Source organism: Homo sapiens, chromosome X, assembly GCF_000001405.40.
Source record: "Homo sapiens chromosome X, GRCh38.p14 Primary Assembly".
Taxonomy (NCBI): Eukaryota; Metazoa; Chordata; class Mammalia; order Primates; family Hominidae; genus Homo; species Homo sapiens.
The window spans coordinates 96823875-96839392 of NC_000023.11; the positions used below are offsets into that span (position 1 = coordinate 96823875).

The window sequence follows — 15518 nt, forward strand, 5'->3', positions numbered from 1 at the left end:
TTCTTTTAGATATTCAAAAGGACAAGTATGTTATATACTCTTGATTTGATTAAAGGAAAACATATATAAAGAAATATAAAGGTATATATATAAATAAAGAAATATATATATAAAGAAAGATGTATAAAGAAAGAAAATAGATATATAAATATCTTCACCTTTCCCTCCACACTCTGATCATTCTAGTCACATCTGGTCTTAAACTTTAGACAGGACATCATATTAGTAATTTATTTTCACCACATCTGTAGGGGTCTTTTATTTGTAGATTCTATAGTGATAATTAATTTAATGGGAGTTAACATTTAGAAATAGATTTGTAGCCAGGTTTTGTGCTCTTTTAATGGGCTGGGAAGCTAAAAATAACGCCTTGTAAGGGAAACAATTGCAAACAGATGAAATTTAACTGAGCACCAGACATTCAGAGTTGAAGAGCACACATGGGGGAAATTGTATGTCCTTAAATTATCAACTTACTGGAAATGAAATGCTTTGGTACAGATGTGAAGAGTAAAACAAAAACAAGTCTGGTAGTTGGTTACATCTTCCCGTCTGCTCTTCGTATTACAAGTAGGAGTCCCACTGTCCAAGCTCATGACACTAAGCTCTTAAAAAAAAAAAACAAATAAATGCTTTACAATGTCAGCTTTAGATAATATATTCAGAAAGAGATGATAACATCATGTATAGTTGTAAGGGACAAATATGCTAGTTCAATTTATCTACAGATGTTCATTGGGATGCTTCCCCTCAAAGTGTTTTTGATTTTCTCAAAAGACCAATCTCAGGAGCTATTTAAGAAAATGTCATTTGATTTGCATATGTAAACAATCAGGTCTATGAACCATATGATTTTATCCCCTAATTATTTATGTAAGGGTTTAAAGTGAGCATACATCACCTATCACAAACCTATCCTGCAAATTAGCAAATGCATACACTAACAAAGACAATTGCTCTGCTTAGCTATATCTCTTAAGGTGAGACATTTAATCCCTTGGTAAGTGGTTGTTTATATGTAACTAAAATAAGCTTTTCCCTCCTTCACCAGTATTAATGTTTTTCTTTCTTTTTTTTTTTTTCTTTTTTGAGACAGAGTCTCACTCTGTCCCTGAGGCTGGAGTGCATTGGCGTGATCTCAGCTCTTTGCAACCTCCGACTCCCAGGTTCAAGTGATTCTCCTGCCTCAGCCTCCCGAGTAGCTGGGATTACAGGCGCATGCCACCACGCCTGGCTAATTTTTGTATTTTTTTTTTTTTTTAGTACATATGGGGTTTTGCTGTGTTAGCCAGGCTGATCTTGAACTGCTGACCTCAAGTGATCCACTGGCCTCGGCCTCCCAAAGTGCTGTGATTACAGGCATGAGCCACCATGCCTGGCCGTATTAATGTTTTTCTAATACTTCCTTAATCAGATAAAAATTTCAATTTGAAAAACTTGAAATATTGATGTAAATTGTTTGATTACTACATGTGTTTTCTTTTTTTTTTTTTTTTTTTTACTATTTTGCTAAAGAATATGGTTAGTTATAAGTTGATACTATGTATATCTTCATGGAGATTTTTAAGTAGGTTTTTTTATTGGCCCTGTTTATATGTGTAGGAAATTATGCTAAATCACAAAACTGGAAACAAGAGCTATTTCTTGCTGTGTAAGTCAGTTTATCAAAAATCTAGATAGCTGTAATAATCTTTTTTTCCTTGTTACATGAGAACATTCTGTATTCTCTATCCCTTAATAATGATTATTTTAAGTTATACTTGAATGTTCCACTGGCATTTTACACTTATTATATCTAATATGGACTTTGTAAGTTTTCGTTATTACCTACTCTAGTCACTCCTCATCTGCCTTCTATGTAGTCCTTATTACTGTTAACATCATCATTCACTCAGTTAAACAAATCTGGGTAACCTGTCCCTCATTCCTTCACTCTATTCTCCAGGGTCAACCACTCCTCCTTATCTATCAGTTCCTGAGTAGTTTCCTGAATCTTCACCTTCATCTTCTCTACATCCTATCTCTGAACTCATCCTCCAGAATGCCTTCAGAATTACTTTTATAAAGCTTAGTCTCCTCTCTACCACTTTTAAAAAATATAATTCTTTTAATTTTGTCCAGTGTTCAAATAAAACACTCCTAGAAAGAGTATTTCTTCATGAATTCCTTTTTCTTATATCACTATTTGGCTCATACTTTCACTGCATTTTTGTAATCCAAGTCCCCCTAACACAAAATGAGCTTAAAATATGGTTATTTTGGCCGGGTGTGGTGGCTCACGCCTGTAATCCCAGCAGTTTGGGAGGCCGAGGTGGGTGGATCACTCGAGGACAGGAATTCGAGACCAGCCTGGCCAAAATGGTGAAACCCCATTTCTACTAAAAATACAAAAATTAGCCAGGCGTGGTGGTGCATACGTGTAATCCCAGCTACTTGGGAGGCTGAGGCAGGAGAATCGCTTGAACCCAGGAGGCAGAGGTGGTAGTGATCTGAGATCACGCCACTGCATTCTAGCCTGGGCGACAGAACAAGGCTCTGTCTTTAAAAAAAAAAAGAAATGTGGTTTTAATGGTTAAAGCCATTAAAAAACCCTTAATTATATAAAGCAAATAATAATTACAATTAGGACATCAGAGAAAAATGCACTTTACTATCAGTTACCAATATGTGAATTACCACCCTTTTACGTTATCTGTGAGAGTCAAACTGTATACCACCATGTAAGTTGAATATGTGTACACTTTGCCTTGGGGAGGAGCTCTAGGCTGATGTTTCTAAATGGTGAGGAACACACCACACCTGATTTGTAAAGTCAGAGAAGGCTAGAGCTGGAATCGATCATTTAGTCCAAAACCCTCTTAAAATTTTTTAAAATTTATTTTATTTTTATTTTTTAGAGATGGTATCTTGCTATGTTGCCTAGGCTGGACTTAAACCCCTAGGCCCAAGTGGTCCTCCCATCTCAGCCTCCCAAGTAGCTAGGACTATAGGCTTATGCCATTGCACCTGGCTCAACACTCTTTTTTTAAAGAGGGAAAGGGCAGGGTCTTACCCAAGGTTATATATCTAGTTCTAGAGCTATATTGCTAGTTATAGATTACTTAAATGTACTATGTGAAATTTAATGTTTAAATTATTTGGTTGAAATTATTAAACATTTGAAACACAATTATTTTTAATGAAGTGACAAATATGTATTAAGTTTAAAATATTTTTTGAAACACATTCTTGTACTTGAACACATTTTCTTGATTAAATATTGGTATAAAGCAGGAAATGATCTATTAAAACAAAACATTCTTAGAAAACTTAGTAGCAGTTACTCCATATCAATAGTTGAGCCTAGATTAGATCATAGGTTTAAAGCATACTTCTGATATTATCTGTTATCTATCTAACACTTTGAAATGATCTGAATGTCTTATTGCAAAACACGGGGAAGATATTAGCTAAAGATTTAAAGAGAAAAAGCAAACCAAGGGCTGGAAAATGATTCTCTGAGTAGCAAATTGGCAGAGTTAAGGAGTTTATTGCAAAGAAAAAATTATTATGTCTATTATATAGCTATTAAACCATAGTCCAGGTGAAGAGAGCATGTTAGATTAAAAATAGCATTAGCACCCCAAAAGATCTGGAAGGCTACTTTTCAAAGGATAGCAAAACCAATTGTGTTACAGGGACAAACCTTACTTAGACCAATAAGTTATAATGCCTTTCAAACTTTTTGGTCTTAGGGGCCATTTACACTCTTAAAATTTTTGAGGACCCTGAGGAACTTTTTTGTGTGGTTCATATCTATTGTTATTTTCTGATTTGATTTAAATCTGAGAAAATTGTAAAACATAAGAACAGTCCATTTGCCGTCAGAGTGATGATGCCATTCCAGGTCATGAAGCCTCTGGAAAACACCACTGTACACTTGTGAGAACACAGGAGTGAAACAGACAAATAACTTTTTTTTGTTTTGGACCGAGTTTCACTCTGCTGCCCAGGCTGGTGTGCAGTGGCGCCATCTCGGCTTGCAGCTGGGACTACAGGTGCCCACTACCTCGCCCGGCTAATTTTTTGTGTTTTTAATAGACACGAGGTTTCACTATGTTGACCAGGCTGGTATCAAACTCCTGACCTCAGGTGATCCACCCACCTCGGCCTCCTAAAGTGCCGGGATTACAGGCGTGAGCCACCGCGCCCAGCCTCAAGTAACTTTTAGTCTTGTTACAACAATAGTTTTGAATTTACATACACCTCTGACAGGGTCCCAGGAATACCCTGGAATCCTTTGACCACATTTTGAGAGCTGCTGCTCTTCTCACGGAGGTCAGTGTATATGGACCCAGTAAGGACAGCAGTGAAGCCTGGGACAGGGATGAGAATGGGCCTGTATTACTAGAATTTTGTCATTTTCTCATCTCCTCTTCTCTTAATGGATCAGCTCATTCTCTCCTATTGGAGAGAGGCTTCTTGATTTGGCCGAAGTCTTAGTTATCAGCAGCAATGAGAGCAAACAGACTGGCTGGACAACAATTTCTGTGTTTCAATGCCAGTGCCTAGTGTGATGTTATTTGTCACATATGCATGTGGAAGATGTCTTGGCCAAATAACTTTGGGAAATTTTGCATGCTCTACACCTGTCCCCTCCCTTTGAAGAATCACAATGCACATTAACATATTAAATTATCTGAAATGTCCTATGGTAGAAAAATTAATTACCTTTATTGAACTCACTGTTTCCAAATCTTAGGTGATTTCAGAGCATTTATCATCATCCATGGATACTAGTGTCTCACAAAAGAGTTTAGAAAGTTGGATGTTATAAAATTTTTATTTCATTTTTACATTGTAGAATTTTCTACTCCCCTTTCAATACCAGGCAAATCGATGTGATTTCTGTGAATAAGTAAGCAAGCCATATACATTTATACAAATATGCATCATTTGATGGAAAGGCAGCACATTGTTGCCAGGGAAAATTGTATCTAAATGATGTTTAGATTTTTGTTTGGAATATAAATGGATAGATAAATGAAATTATTCCACTTATACTTTTAAAATGCCACTGACAGAAGAAAAAAAAACCCATATTATCTCAATATGTATTGTCAAAAAGTCCTTGATAAAATTTAGCATGCTTTCCGATTATAAAATTAATACAATAGGACAAGTACTTATTTCCTTAACTGGCTCTTTCTTGTTATTCAGGTCTCAGCTTAAGTATCACTTTGTCAAAGAAACCTTTCCTAACTTCCTGCATGAAGTAGCTCCCACTCCCTATTGTATTAGTCTGATAAAACTATATATTGCAAGCCAAATGGCACTGTTCTGTTTAATGCTAAAACACTTGAAGAATTCCCATGTGAAGAGCCAGACTAGGATGTTCACAATCACTAGTATTTTTTAGGCTTTTTTCCCCATTTTTTAGAGAGGAAGGGGGAGTGTGTATCTGCCAATGCAATTAAATAAGAGAGAGAAGGAAATAAAAAGATTTAGAAAGATATATGTAATTTTTTCACATTATGTGACTATCTGATAAAGTATGTAAAAATCAATAGCATTTACATATATATATGTATATATATATATATATATAAAACAAGGCAAATGATTGTGTGTGTGTGGTTTTTTTGTTTGTTTGTTTTTGAGATGGAGTCTCGCTCTGTCGCCCAGGCTAGATTACAATGGCACTATCTTGGCTCACTGCAACCTTCACCTCCTGGGTTCAAGTGAATCTCCTGTCTCAGCCTCCTGAATAAGTGGGATTGCAGGCGCCTGCCAAGATGCCCGGCTAATTTTTTGTATTTTTGGTAAAGACATGGTTTCACCATGTTGGCCAGGCTGGTCTCGAACTCCTGACCTCAGGCCATCCGCCTGCCTTGGCCTCTCAAATTGCTGGGATTATAGGCGGGAGCTACCATGCCAGGCCTAAATGATTGATAATGGAATAAAAAGTCCTATTTAGTATAGTAATAAGAGAGAGTCAATGACATACCAATATAATTTCAACAGAATTTTTCTTTTTCTTTTTTTTTTTTAAGAAATTGACAACATGATGTGTATTTTTATCTGGAAGTAAACATCTGGGAATAGCCAGGAAAAAACTGGAACGGAAGTGCACTGAAGGGGAACTAGTTCTACCAAATATATATATAAAAAAAGGTTAAAGTTATAGGATTAAAATAGTTTATTCTTGTTTATAACAGAGTCAAATAGTAGACCATAATATATGCAGGAATTTACTGTATGATAGATGAGGCATTTGAATTCAGTAAAGATCAGTTATTCAATCCAAAATTTAATTTGATAAAAGGATCATAAAGTTAAATATTACATTACAGGCTAAAAAATATATTTGCAACACATATGGCAAAGGGCTCATTATCTTAATATACAAAGATTTTTTACAAAATAAATATGAGTGGGCCAGGCGTGGTGGCTCACGCCTGTAATCCCAGCACTTTGGGAGGCCGAGGCGGGTGGATCACGAGGTCAGGAGATCGAGACCATCCTGGCTAACATGGTGAAACCCCGTCTCTACTAAAAATACAAAAAATTAGCCGGGCATGGTGGCGGGTGCCTGTAGTCCCAGCTACTTGGGAGGCTGAGGCAGGAGAATGACGTGAACCCAGGAGGCGGAGCTTGCAGTGAGCCGAGATCACGCCACTGCACTCTAGCCTGGGCGACAGAGCGAGACTCAGTCTCAAAAAAAAAAAAAAAAAAAAAAAAAAATGAGCAAATGAAAACCCCTATTAAAAAAGTGGCAGAGCCCCTGAAAAGGTAGTTCATAGCTACAGAAATACAAATAAGCAATAAAATGCATGAAAAAGGATTTAACTTCAAACAGAATTAAATAATTGGAGATGAAATCAGCAATGACATAACATTTGAAAAAAAAAGTAACAAATTAACAAAGTTTTAAAATGTTCGATAATGGTATAAGAGAGAATATGGAAAGAAAGCTCTTCCTTCTATTGACACAGTTTTTTTCTTTTGTCATCTTTTTGGAGGGGCATTTCGTGATATCTACCAAAATTGGGCCCAGCAGTTCCAGTTCTTGGCACGTATCCTACACGTAATCCTATACAAATATGTGAAGGTACATGTAAAAGAATATCAGATGAAATATTGCCCCTCAGTGAAAGACTGGTAAAATCTGCTGTTACTCTTCCCCTGGCTTAGTGTGCTCCAACCACAGTAGCTTTCTATCTCTTTATGGGACATACCCAGTCTTTTCCACCTTAAGACATTTGTACTAGCTATTCTTTCCTCTTGGGATGCCTTTTCCCTAGGTTTTTTACGTGACTTTTTTTTTCTTGTCATTCAGGTCTCAGCTTAAGTATCATTTCCTCAAGGAAGCCTTTCCTAACTTCCCACTACAAAGTAGCTCCCATTTCCCATCATAGTACTCTGTTTTATTGTCATCATAGTAGCTATTACTATTTAATATTGTCTTCTATGTTTACGTATTATCTGTTTCTCTAGAATATGGAAAGGCAGAATAACTTGGTAATTAAAAGCATTGACTCTGTAGCCATAGCTGGGTTCAAATTTTGGCTCTGCCATTTACAGTCTGTTGGCACTTGGGGACAATTCTAACTTAATCTCTAGTGCTTTCACTTTTTAAAAAAAATCTGTGCAACTGTGATTAAGAATAGAACCTACCTCACAAATTTGTGATAATAAAATGAACTTAACATTTAAAACACAGCACTATTGAGGACATGGTAGACACTCATAAAATACTTGTAGATCAATTGAATTAAATTATCATTTATTCATTTAAAAGAATATTATGAAACCATCTCAGTGAATGAGGTAGATCTGTATGTTCTGATATGAATTTTCTTCAAAATGTAGTGTGAGTGAAAATAGACTGTGAAGGTAACCTCAAAATCTGGGTCTTTAAACAACAGAGACTCATTTCTTGCTCATGTTACATATCTATTATGTGTCAGTGAGGGTCTCTGTCTCATGTTGTCCTCACTAGTGTCCTGGGCTCCACCATATGGCGAAAGGAAGTAGAATATTCAGAGTGGCATTTTAGATGCTTCCATCTAGAAGCACTACCCTCCACTTATCACATTGCATTGGCCAAAATAAGTCACATAGCCACACCTAACTTCAAGGAGTAGGAAAGTACGATCCTACTGTGACCTTCTAAGGAGGAGAACCAGAAATGTTGATGAACAGCAATTATTAATGAGAATGTAATAATTGAGAAAAAAGGTACAAAAGAGTAGGTATAAAGAGAGCCTATTTTTCAAAGATGTGTGTGTACTTGGATTTATATTATAAAAATGTATGGAACAATCTGCAAAACTAATAGTGGTCTGCTCTGGGAAATGGGATATTTACTTTTTACATTAAACCTTTTGTACTATTTGATATATTTTTCAATGTGGACATATATTACTTCCATAACTAAAAAAAAAATTGTCTCCCAACTGCCTCTCACATATACTTTGACAAAGTGCTATTGCAAATACTATTACAACTCAGTAAACATGGGATGGCTTATATTGAGAGAAGGAAACTGATTCACAATGAGAGAAAAGGGGCAGAAATAGATAGGTTATTTTCTGGGTAGAGAAGTACAGAGAGGGGCTCCTAAAAGACCAGTGGCAATACTAAAGTTCTTTATAAACTATCTAGTAGAGAGGATTGTGTGGTAGAAATTTACAAGCTTTCTAGTAACAAAGTTTCCTGGGTAGTTAAGTGCCAGACAGTAGGGGCAGACCACAAAAATATTTTTATATCATTTTGTATTTGGATAGAAGAAACATATTAAGGATAATATATTTCTGAATAGATATCAGTGATAAATTTGAAGATTCTGAACTATTGCAGAAGACTGGGAAAGTTCCCTGAAAGTCTCCATTTTTCCATGATTTCATAAAAGTTGCTGTTGGCAATGATTCCAGGGCTTTTCCCAACTTGGAAATTCTTAGTTTTCAAAGTACTTTAAAAGTAAGATATAAAATTATTTTAAGGGAAAATGATAAGATAATGTTTTATCCAACTCTGCTTGCCAAATTATTTTTAGATATATATGAATATTTGTGTATGATTTGCGAACAATGGAAGAAGTATTGATTTTAGATAAAAATCACTTCTGTTTTAGATTTTTGTTATTTGTAGTGACACCAGTGTGTGTGTGACACCAACACACACATACATACATACAACATAATTAGATATATGTACACCTAATTAGCTCCCTTGTTTTTACTTTTTTTAAAATTCCTTGGAAATGCCTACTTTTTACAGGGGAGGCACAAATATGGAAGTTCTGTATGGAGGCACAGATTTAGCTCTAAAGTATGTGGAATGGTAAATTGAAAGGATTTTGGAATTAAACATTTATTGAATCATCTCCAAAGTAGTATAAGATATTTGTATACAGAAAATGCTGTGAGAGAATTTGAAGCAAAATTTTCTATTATCCCTAATTGCTCTTTGTAATATATTTTAAATATTGATATTAAATATTTATTTTTAATTAGTGTGTATTTAAAACTATAGTTAAGGTAGGAAATTATGATTTAGTGTATTTTAAATATGTATTTTTATTCCTTTCCTCAGCCTTCTGTTAAAATGAGTTGCATAATGCTTACATTTTACATAGGAATGCAAACAGTCCTATTTTAAGTCTGGTCAGAATTTTTAAAGGATTAAATTCAGGTATTTAAAAAAATCATTACGTCATTATATAAAGACAAGTCTAGAAAAATCAGATAGATTCACAGGCCTTTTTACTTACTCAGTCTCATGACTTTTCTCAGGGGTTTATTTTATTTTATTTTATTTTTTGGGACTGAGTCTCACTCTATCACCCAGGCTGGAGTGCAGTGGCTCAATCTCGGCTCACGGTAACCTCTGCCTCCTGGGTTCAAGTGATTCTCTTGCCTCAGCCTCCCGAGTAGCTGGGACTACAGGTGTACACCACCATGTCTGGCTAAATTTTGTATTTTTAGTAGAGACAGGACTTCACCATGTTGTCCACTAGTCTCGAACTCTTAATCTCAAGTGATCTGCCCACCTCGCTCTCCCAAAGTGCTGGGATTACAGGTGTGAGCCACCACCACGCCCGGCCAGGGGTTTATTAACATATATACATACACCATGAGAACACTATATTTTGTATCTCACATTCTTGCATGATCATATTTAAGACAACAGGATTTGTTCAACATTCCTAGACACCTAGTATGTCAAGGAATGTTTCTACATAAGTATTATTTATTGAAATAAGCTGCATTTAGACTATGCTACTCACCATATAAAGGTTGACTATGCCTAATCCAAACATCTGAAATCTGCAATACTCCAAACCTAAAATGAAATACTCATTAGAATATTTCTGATTTGGGAATTTTGGGTTAGTGATGCTCAACTGGTGGGTATAAAGCAAATATTCCAGAATCCAAAAAAATCTGACATCTGAAGCAGTTCTGGTCCCAAGCATTTCTAACAGGGATACCCACACTGGACTCGGGTGGTAATCTGCAGCAGCTAGTGAGGTAGCATTCCTGCCAAACAATTTGAGATACATTTTGAAGTATTTGGAAATAGGTGTCATATTCTCCCTTTCCTGAGTTTCTAGTAATTATAAGCTTTTCACTTCAATAGTTACTCATGTATAATCAGTGAGTTTAAGAAAATTCCAGATATGGTAATTAGATACTAACACAATATGGTGAAAAATAGGAACTAATATACAAACTTGCAGATTCTTTATATATTTAATACAGATGGAAGTCCTTGTTTAAATTTTAATAGTATGATACATTAGGAGAAAAGGACATATTTGGTAAATCTATATCATATATAGTGTCAGATTTTACAGGATAACTTGTAAGGAAGGGATTTATGAGAAAAAAAATGTTAGCGGGGCCAAACAATGTAAATAAATACATGTTGGCAAATGTGCTCAGGAGTATTTTGTAAGGAAGGAGTTATAAACATTGCCTTTACCTTTTGATTGTATTTGCAAAACAATGATTCTTAATGGAAACTAAAATTTAAAGTGTTGAGCCATGAGTGCTCAACTTTCATTGCATACTCTGTCATAAAGCATGCTGGAAAGAAACAAAAACAAGCCTACTAGTTGATCAGTTATTTATTGAGTTTTTGTTATTTACTCAACACTACAATTAAGTGTGGAGAATACAGAAAGAAAGTGTAACATATCTTTATTTCAGTTAAAATTTTACTGTTTGACCTGCCGAGAGAGGTTAATTGGATAGTCAAATTGGACTTTAAAGGATCTTCCTGGGAGAAGACCAACAAGAACGGAATTTTAAAAAGTGGCAGTGAGGAAACTGGCTCAATCCAAACACAGGGCATGTCCTCAGCAAATAAGGGAATAACAACAAAACCAACAACAATAACAATGGTGCTTCACATTAATCGAATACTTATTACCTGCTGAACACTGTTTTGAAGTGCCTTTAGTTCATGAACTAATTTAATTCTCACAGTGCCTCCTTCCAAATAGAGGAAAAAGAGATCTCTCCCCTCTTCCATGGCTACCTGGGCTGACCCCAGGAGGGCATTAAAAGCACCTAAATATTCTTGGGTTGGATGGAAAATCCTTGTTTGGGATTTTAAAGACCTTTCCAAAAGAGGAGTCAGGGGCATTTTGTAATCAGCTTTCACCTTTCCCTACCCTGTCAGGCCTAATGCCAAATCGGAAGGAGGAGCTTTCTATATTTTATACATTGTAAACATTTATTGCCTTGGAAATATATTCTTATAAGATTTTGTTTTAGATTTTATGTTTAAAGGATTTTAAAAATTGAGTAGAGATTTGCTTTTATCACAAAGAATGCTATTTATGTACAAATGCAGTTATCTGTTTAACTACAAAAAATGAGTTCTCTGTGTTGTACATGGGAGGGTGATGTCCAAGTATCACACTTGACCACCAGTCTAGTTTTAATCTTTTTCTTTTACGTTTTTTGAGGCAGAGTCTCACTCCAGTTGCCCAGACTGGAGTGCAGTGATGTGATCATGGCTCACTGCAGCCTCAACTTCCCGGACTCAGGTGATTCTCCCATCTCAGCCACCCGAGTAGCTGAAACTATAGATGCACGCCACCACAGCTGGCTAATTTTTTGTATTTTTAGTAGAGACAGGGTTTCCCCATGTTGCCCAGGCTGTTCTCAAACTCCTGGGCTCAAGTGATCTGCCTGCCTCTGGCCTCTGTCACTGTGCCTAGCCAAGCATGGAATTTTTTTTTTTTCATAATTTACATAGGTTTTTGGAGAACAGGTGGTGTTTGGTTACATGTGTAAGTTCTTTAGTGGTGATTTTTAGTCATTTACCCCTCATCCCCCTCCCACCGTTTCTCCTAAGTCTCTTAACCACAGAGGTGGTAAGGGCCTTGAAGGCTAGGCAAGAATTTATGGCCAAGTCTTTGCCTTATAGGATTATATAATCTAATGATTTAGAGAACTTTTGTTATCTAGAGTTTAAGGTACTCATAAAATGCTGTTTGGTTATAGAATGAATTTTCTCTTGATAAATGACTGTACTCAAAGGCATATTGATTTCCATATAATTATATAGCTAGTTATACTCTATTTTATTAGCAAAACAGTCTTGAATTTTGCATAATTTAATGAATATAATTAATGACTAACTATTCTTCCTTCCTCTGATAGGCTAAGTAATCAGGCTGACCTAGCCCGATTCATTATACTCATTACAGAATAGAAAAAAGAAAAGCTGCAAAATAGTATTTTGCATGATGGCTCTATTTTTCTCAGTTTCCAATCTTAGGGACTTGACTAATTTCATTTTAAAGCAGTACAGGTATATATATATATATATATATATATATATATATTTTTTTTTTTTTTTTTTTTTTTTTTTTGAGACGGAGTCTCGCTCTGTCGCCCAGGCTGGAGTGCAGTGGCGCGATCTCGGCTCACTGCAAGCTCCGCCTCCCGGGTTCACGCCATTCTCCTGCCTCAGCCTCCCGAGTAGCTGGGACTACAGGCGCCCGCTACCACGCCCGGCTAATTTTTTGTATTTTTAGTAGAGACGGGGTTTCACCGTGTTAGCCAGGATGGTCTCGATCTCCTGACCTCGTGATCCGCCCGCCTCAGCCTCCCAAAGTGCTGGGATTACAGGCGTGAGCCACCGCGCCCGGCAGGTATATATTTAATACAAGGAATAGAGACATTCTAGCCAAAATAGTGGTGAAGTAAAATTCACGTGTAAAATATCCCTTTCCTTGCATGCTTCAAAGTAAAGTGGTGTCACTGGAAAGATATACACTGGTGTTTTAGATATTAGTTTTTAAAAATCATTTAATTATTAGGTAAGGGTGTTTTATTTTGTGAAATATGGATAAAAATCTGAAATATAAGTCATATTAGGTAATGACCAGTTCCCAAAGGAACCTTATAAAGAGCTTCATGGATGAATGAGTTTACATCTAATAAGATATAAACTCGCTGATAAGTGGCTTTCTCTCTCTCTTTCTCTGTCTCTCTGTCTGCCTCCTTCCCTCCCTCCCTTCCTCCCTCCCTCTCTCTCTCTCTCTCTCTCTCTCTCTCTGTGTGTGTGTGTGTGTGTGTGTGTGTGTGTGTAGTACTAGTAGTAGTAGAGAGCATAGTCAAGGAAATAACTACAAGATGAGATAGTGAAACCTTTTGTTTGATCAAAAAAAGCAACTCTTTGAGCAATTCAGCTCCACTGGGGCAGGAACTATGTTTTCTTTATTCCTCCCTCTGTGCCTAGAATTGGTAGATATTTAAAAGTTTTGATTGTATCATTGTAAGTAAAAGGGGGACTTGGATTTTGGTTATAAAAACGTTTATGCCACTTTCAGGAACAGATATATTGTATCATAATGCGATAATTCTTAATTGAAATGGCGGCCTTTTTGAACTCTTGTGGGCACATCAGAACTATTTTACTATATTTAGATTGTTCATGTGTGGCTTTTGGAACTTATTTCCCATCGTGTAAATACAGTGTATTCATCTGTTGATCCCCTACTTATTAGGCACCATGCCGCTACTCTTATAGATGTCATCTTATTTACCAGATATCTTCAGTATGTGTCTGAAAGCAGATATTTTAATCTCAGTTTTTCAAATTGGGAGATCGTGACTCAGAATTTAAGAATGCTGCCCAGTAAGTTGCTTGGCAGTAAGCTCTTGGGCTTACATTTGAACTCAGGTTGTGTTTGTCTTGAATATCCTTGATGGTCATAAATCTTTATCTTCTAAGAATGGAAATAATCTTTGAAAATAGCCAAAATTTTCTCCCTTAAATTTGATGAATAAGATGAGTGACTAAATTGATCAAATTCTGGCCTTAAAATATAAAGCAATGAGACGTGTTTTATTATTTGGGTGGTAAACTGTCCCTGAAGGTAATTTCTTCAGAATCAAAACAGGGATATTCAGCAATGTTTTCAGCAGTGGCAGCAGAACTATAGTAAGCATGTGGCCCCTGAGATAACTGTGATAGTCAATACACATTAGGAAGATTAACTTCTGTTTGTTATAAAACAAAACAGAATAGTTATTTTATAGTAACATTTTCATGATGCCAAAATAAATACTTTCATGTCATTATCTAATTGTATACATTGTTTTAAGAAATGTAAAGAAATACTGTATTAGTACAAAATTACACCATTTATGTTAGTGTGGAATGTTTGATCATTTTATTTCTAAGGGAAAATTACAAAACTGTTTAGTTCACCTCAGTTTCTATAATGCAGCCTCTAAAGTCTCATTTCTTTAACAGGGCCTTGTGGGTGTTCTAAAGGAATGATTGAAATGAAAAGAAATGAGAGAGTCAAACAGTGTACCGTAATAGATGAAATGGAAAGTAATTATGTTAATGTTGACTCATTATGAAGCTCTAACCATTTTTACCTGCTCATTTCTGTGTGGAAACCTGTGCAGCTGAGATGCTGAATAAGAAATTCTTGTACAAATGAGCCTAGAGGCATGTTTCTAGTATAGGAGCTAGGTCTATGCAGAATTATAATGAATTTCCCTAAGTCATTATTTAAATATGCTATCAGAGTAGGTGATTCTCCTGCCAGAAAATTTGGCTTCTAATGTTTATCATCAAATTTTTAGATGTATATTTGAATCTTCATTGCTGCATGTAATTCTCATTTGTTAATTAGAGAGAAAAAACCCTATATTCCACAATACATCTATATCATATATAGTGTCAGATTTTACAGGATAACCTGTAAGGAAGGGATTTATGAGAAAAAAATGTTAGCAGGGCCAAACAATGTAAATAAAAACATGTAAGTGCTTAAGAACGTGAGATTTGGAGTCAGATGGGCTAGATTGAAACCAAATCTGTCTGACTCCAAAACTGAAGCTTTTATTCATGGTCAGAAAATTTTGAAAGTGTCACTCCCCTAAATGCCTATACCATTCCCCCCATTGCGCTTAAATGTTTCTTTTTGCCAGTATTCTGTTTCTAAAGCATGCATTTTTCAGTCATAATGTATAATAAAGCTTAATGGTCTTGCCTCC

The 15518-nt window shown here is 35.9% G+C and overlaps 1 protein-coding gene across 2 annotated transcripts in view, besides 2 other annotated features; it reads left to right on the forward strand.

Moving 5' to 3' along the window:
• Positions 1–15518, forward strand: part of DIAPH2 (diaphanous related formin 2) — a 920156-nt gene that overhangs the window by 139033 nt on the left and 765605 nt on the right. The window lies entirely within an intron of this gene.
• Positions 11880–12109: an enhancer, noted in NCBI's record as "active region_29797". NCBI's record gives its function as "activates an Ori minimal core promoter by ATAC-STARR-seq in GM12878 lymphoblastoid cells {active_cell/tissue: GM12878}" and the evidence as "EXISTENCE:reporter gene assay evidence [ECO:0000049][PMID:35858748]".
• Positions 12210–12329: an enhancer, noted in NCBI's record as "active region_29798". NCBI's record gives its function as "activates an Ori minimal core promoter by ATAC-STARR-seq in GM12878 lymphoblastoid cells {active_cell/tissue: GM12878}" and the evidence as "EXISTENCE:reporter gene assay evidence [ECO:0000049][PMID:35858748]".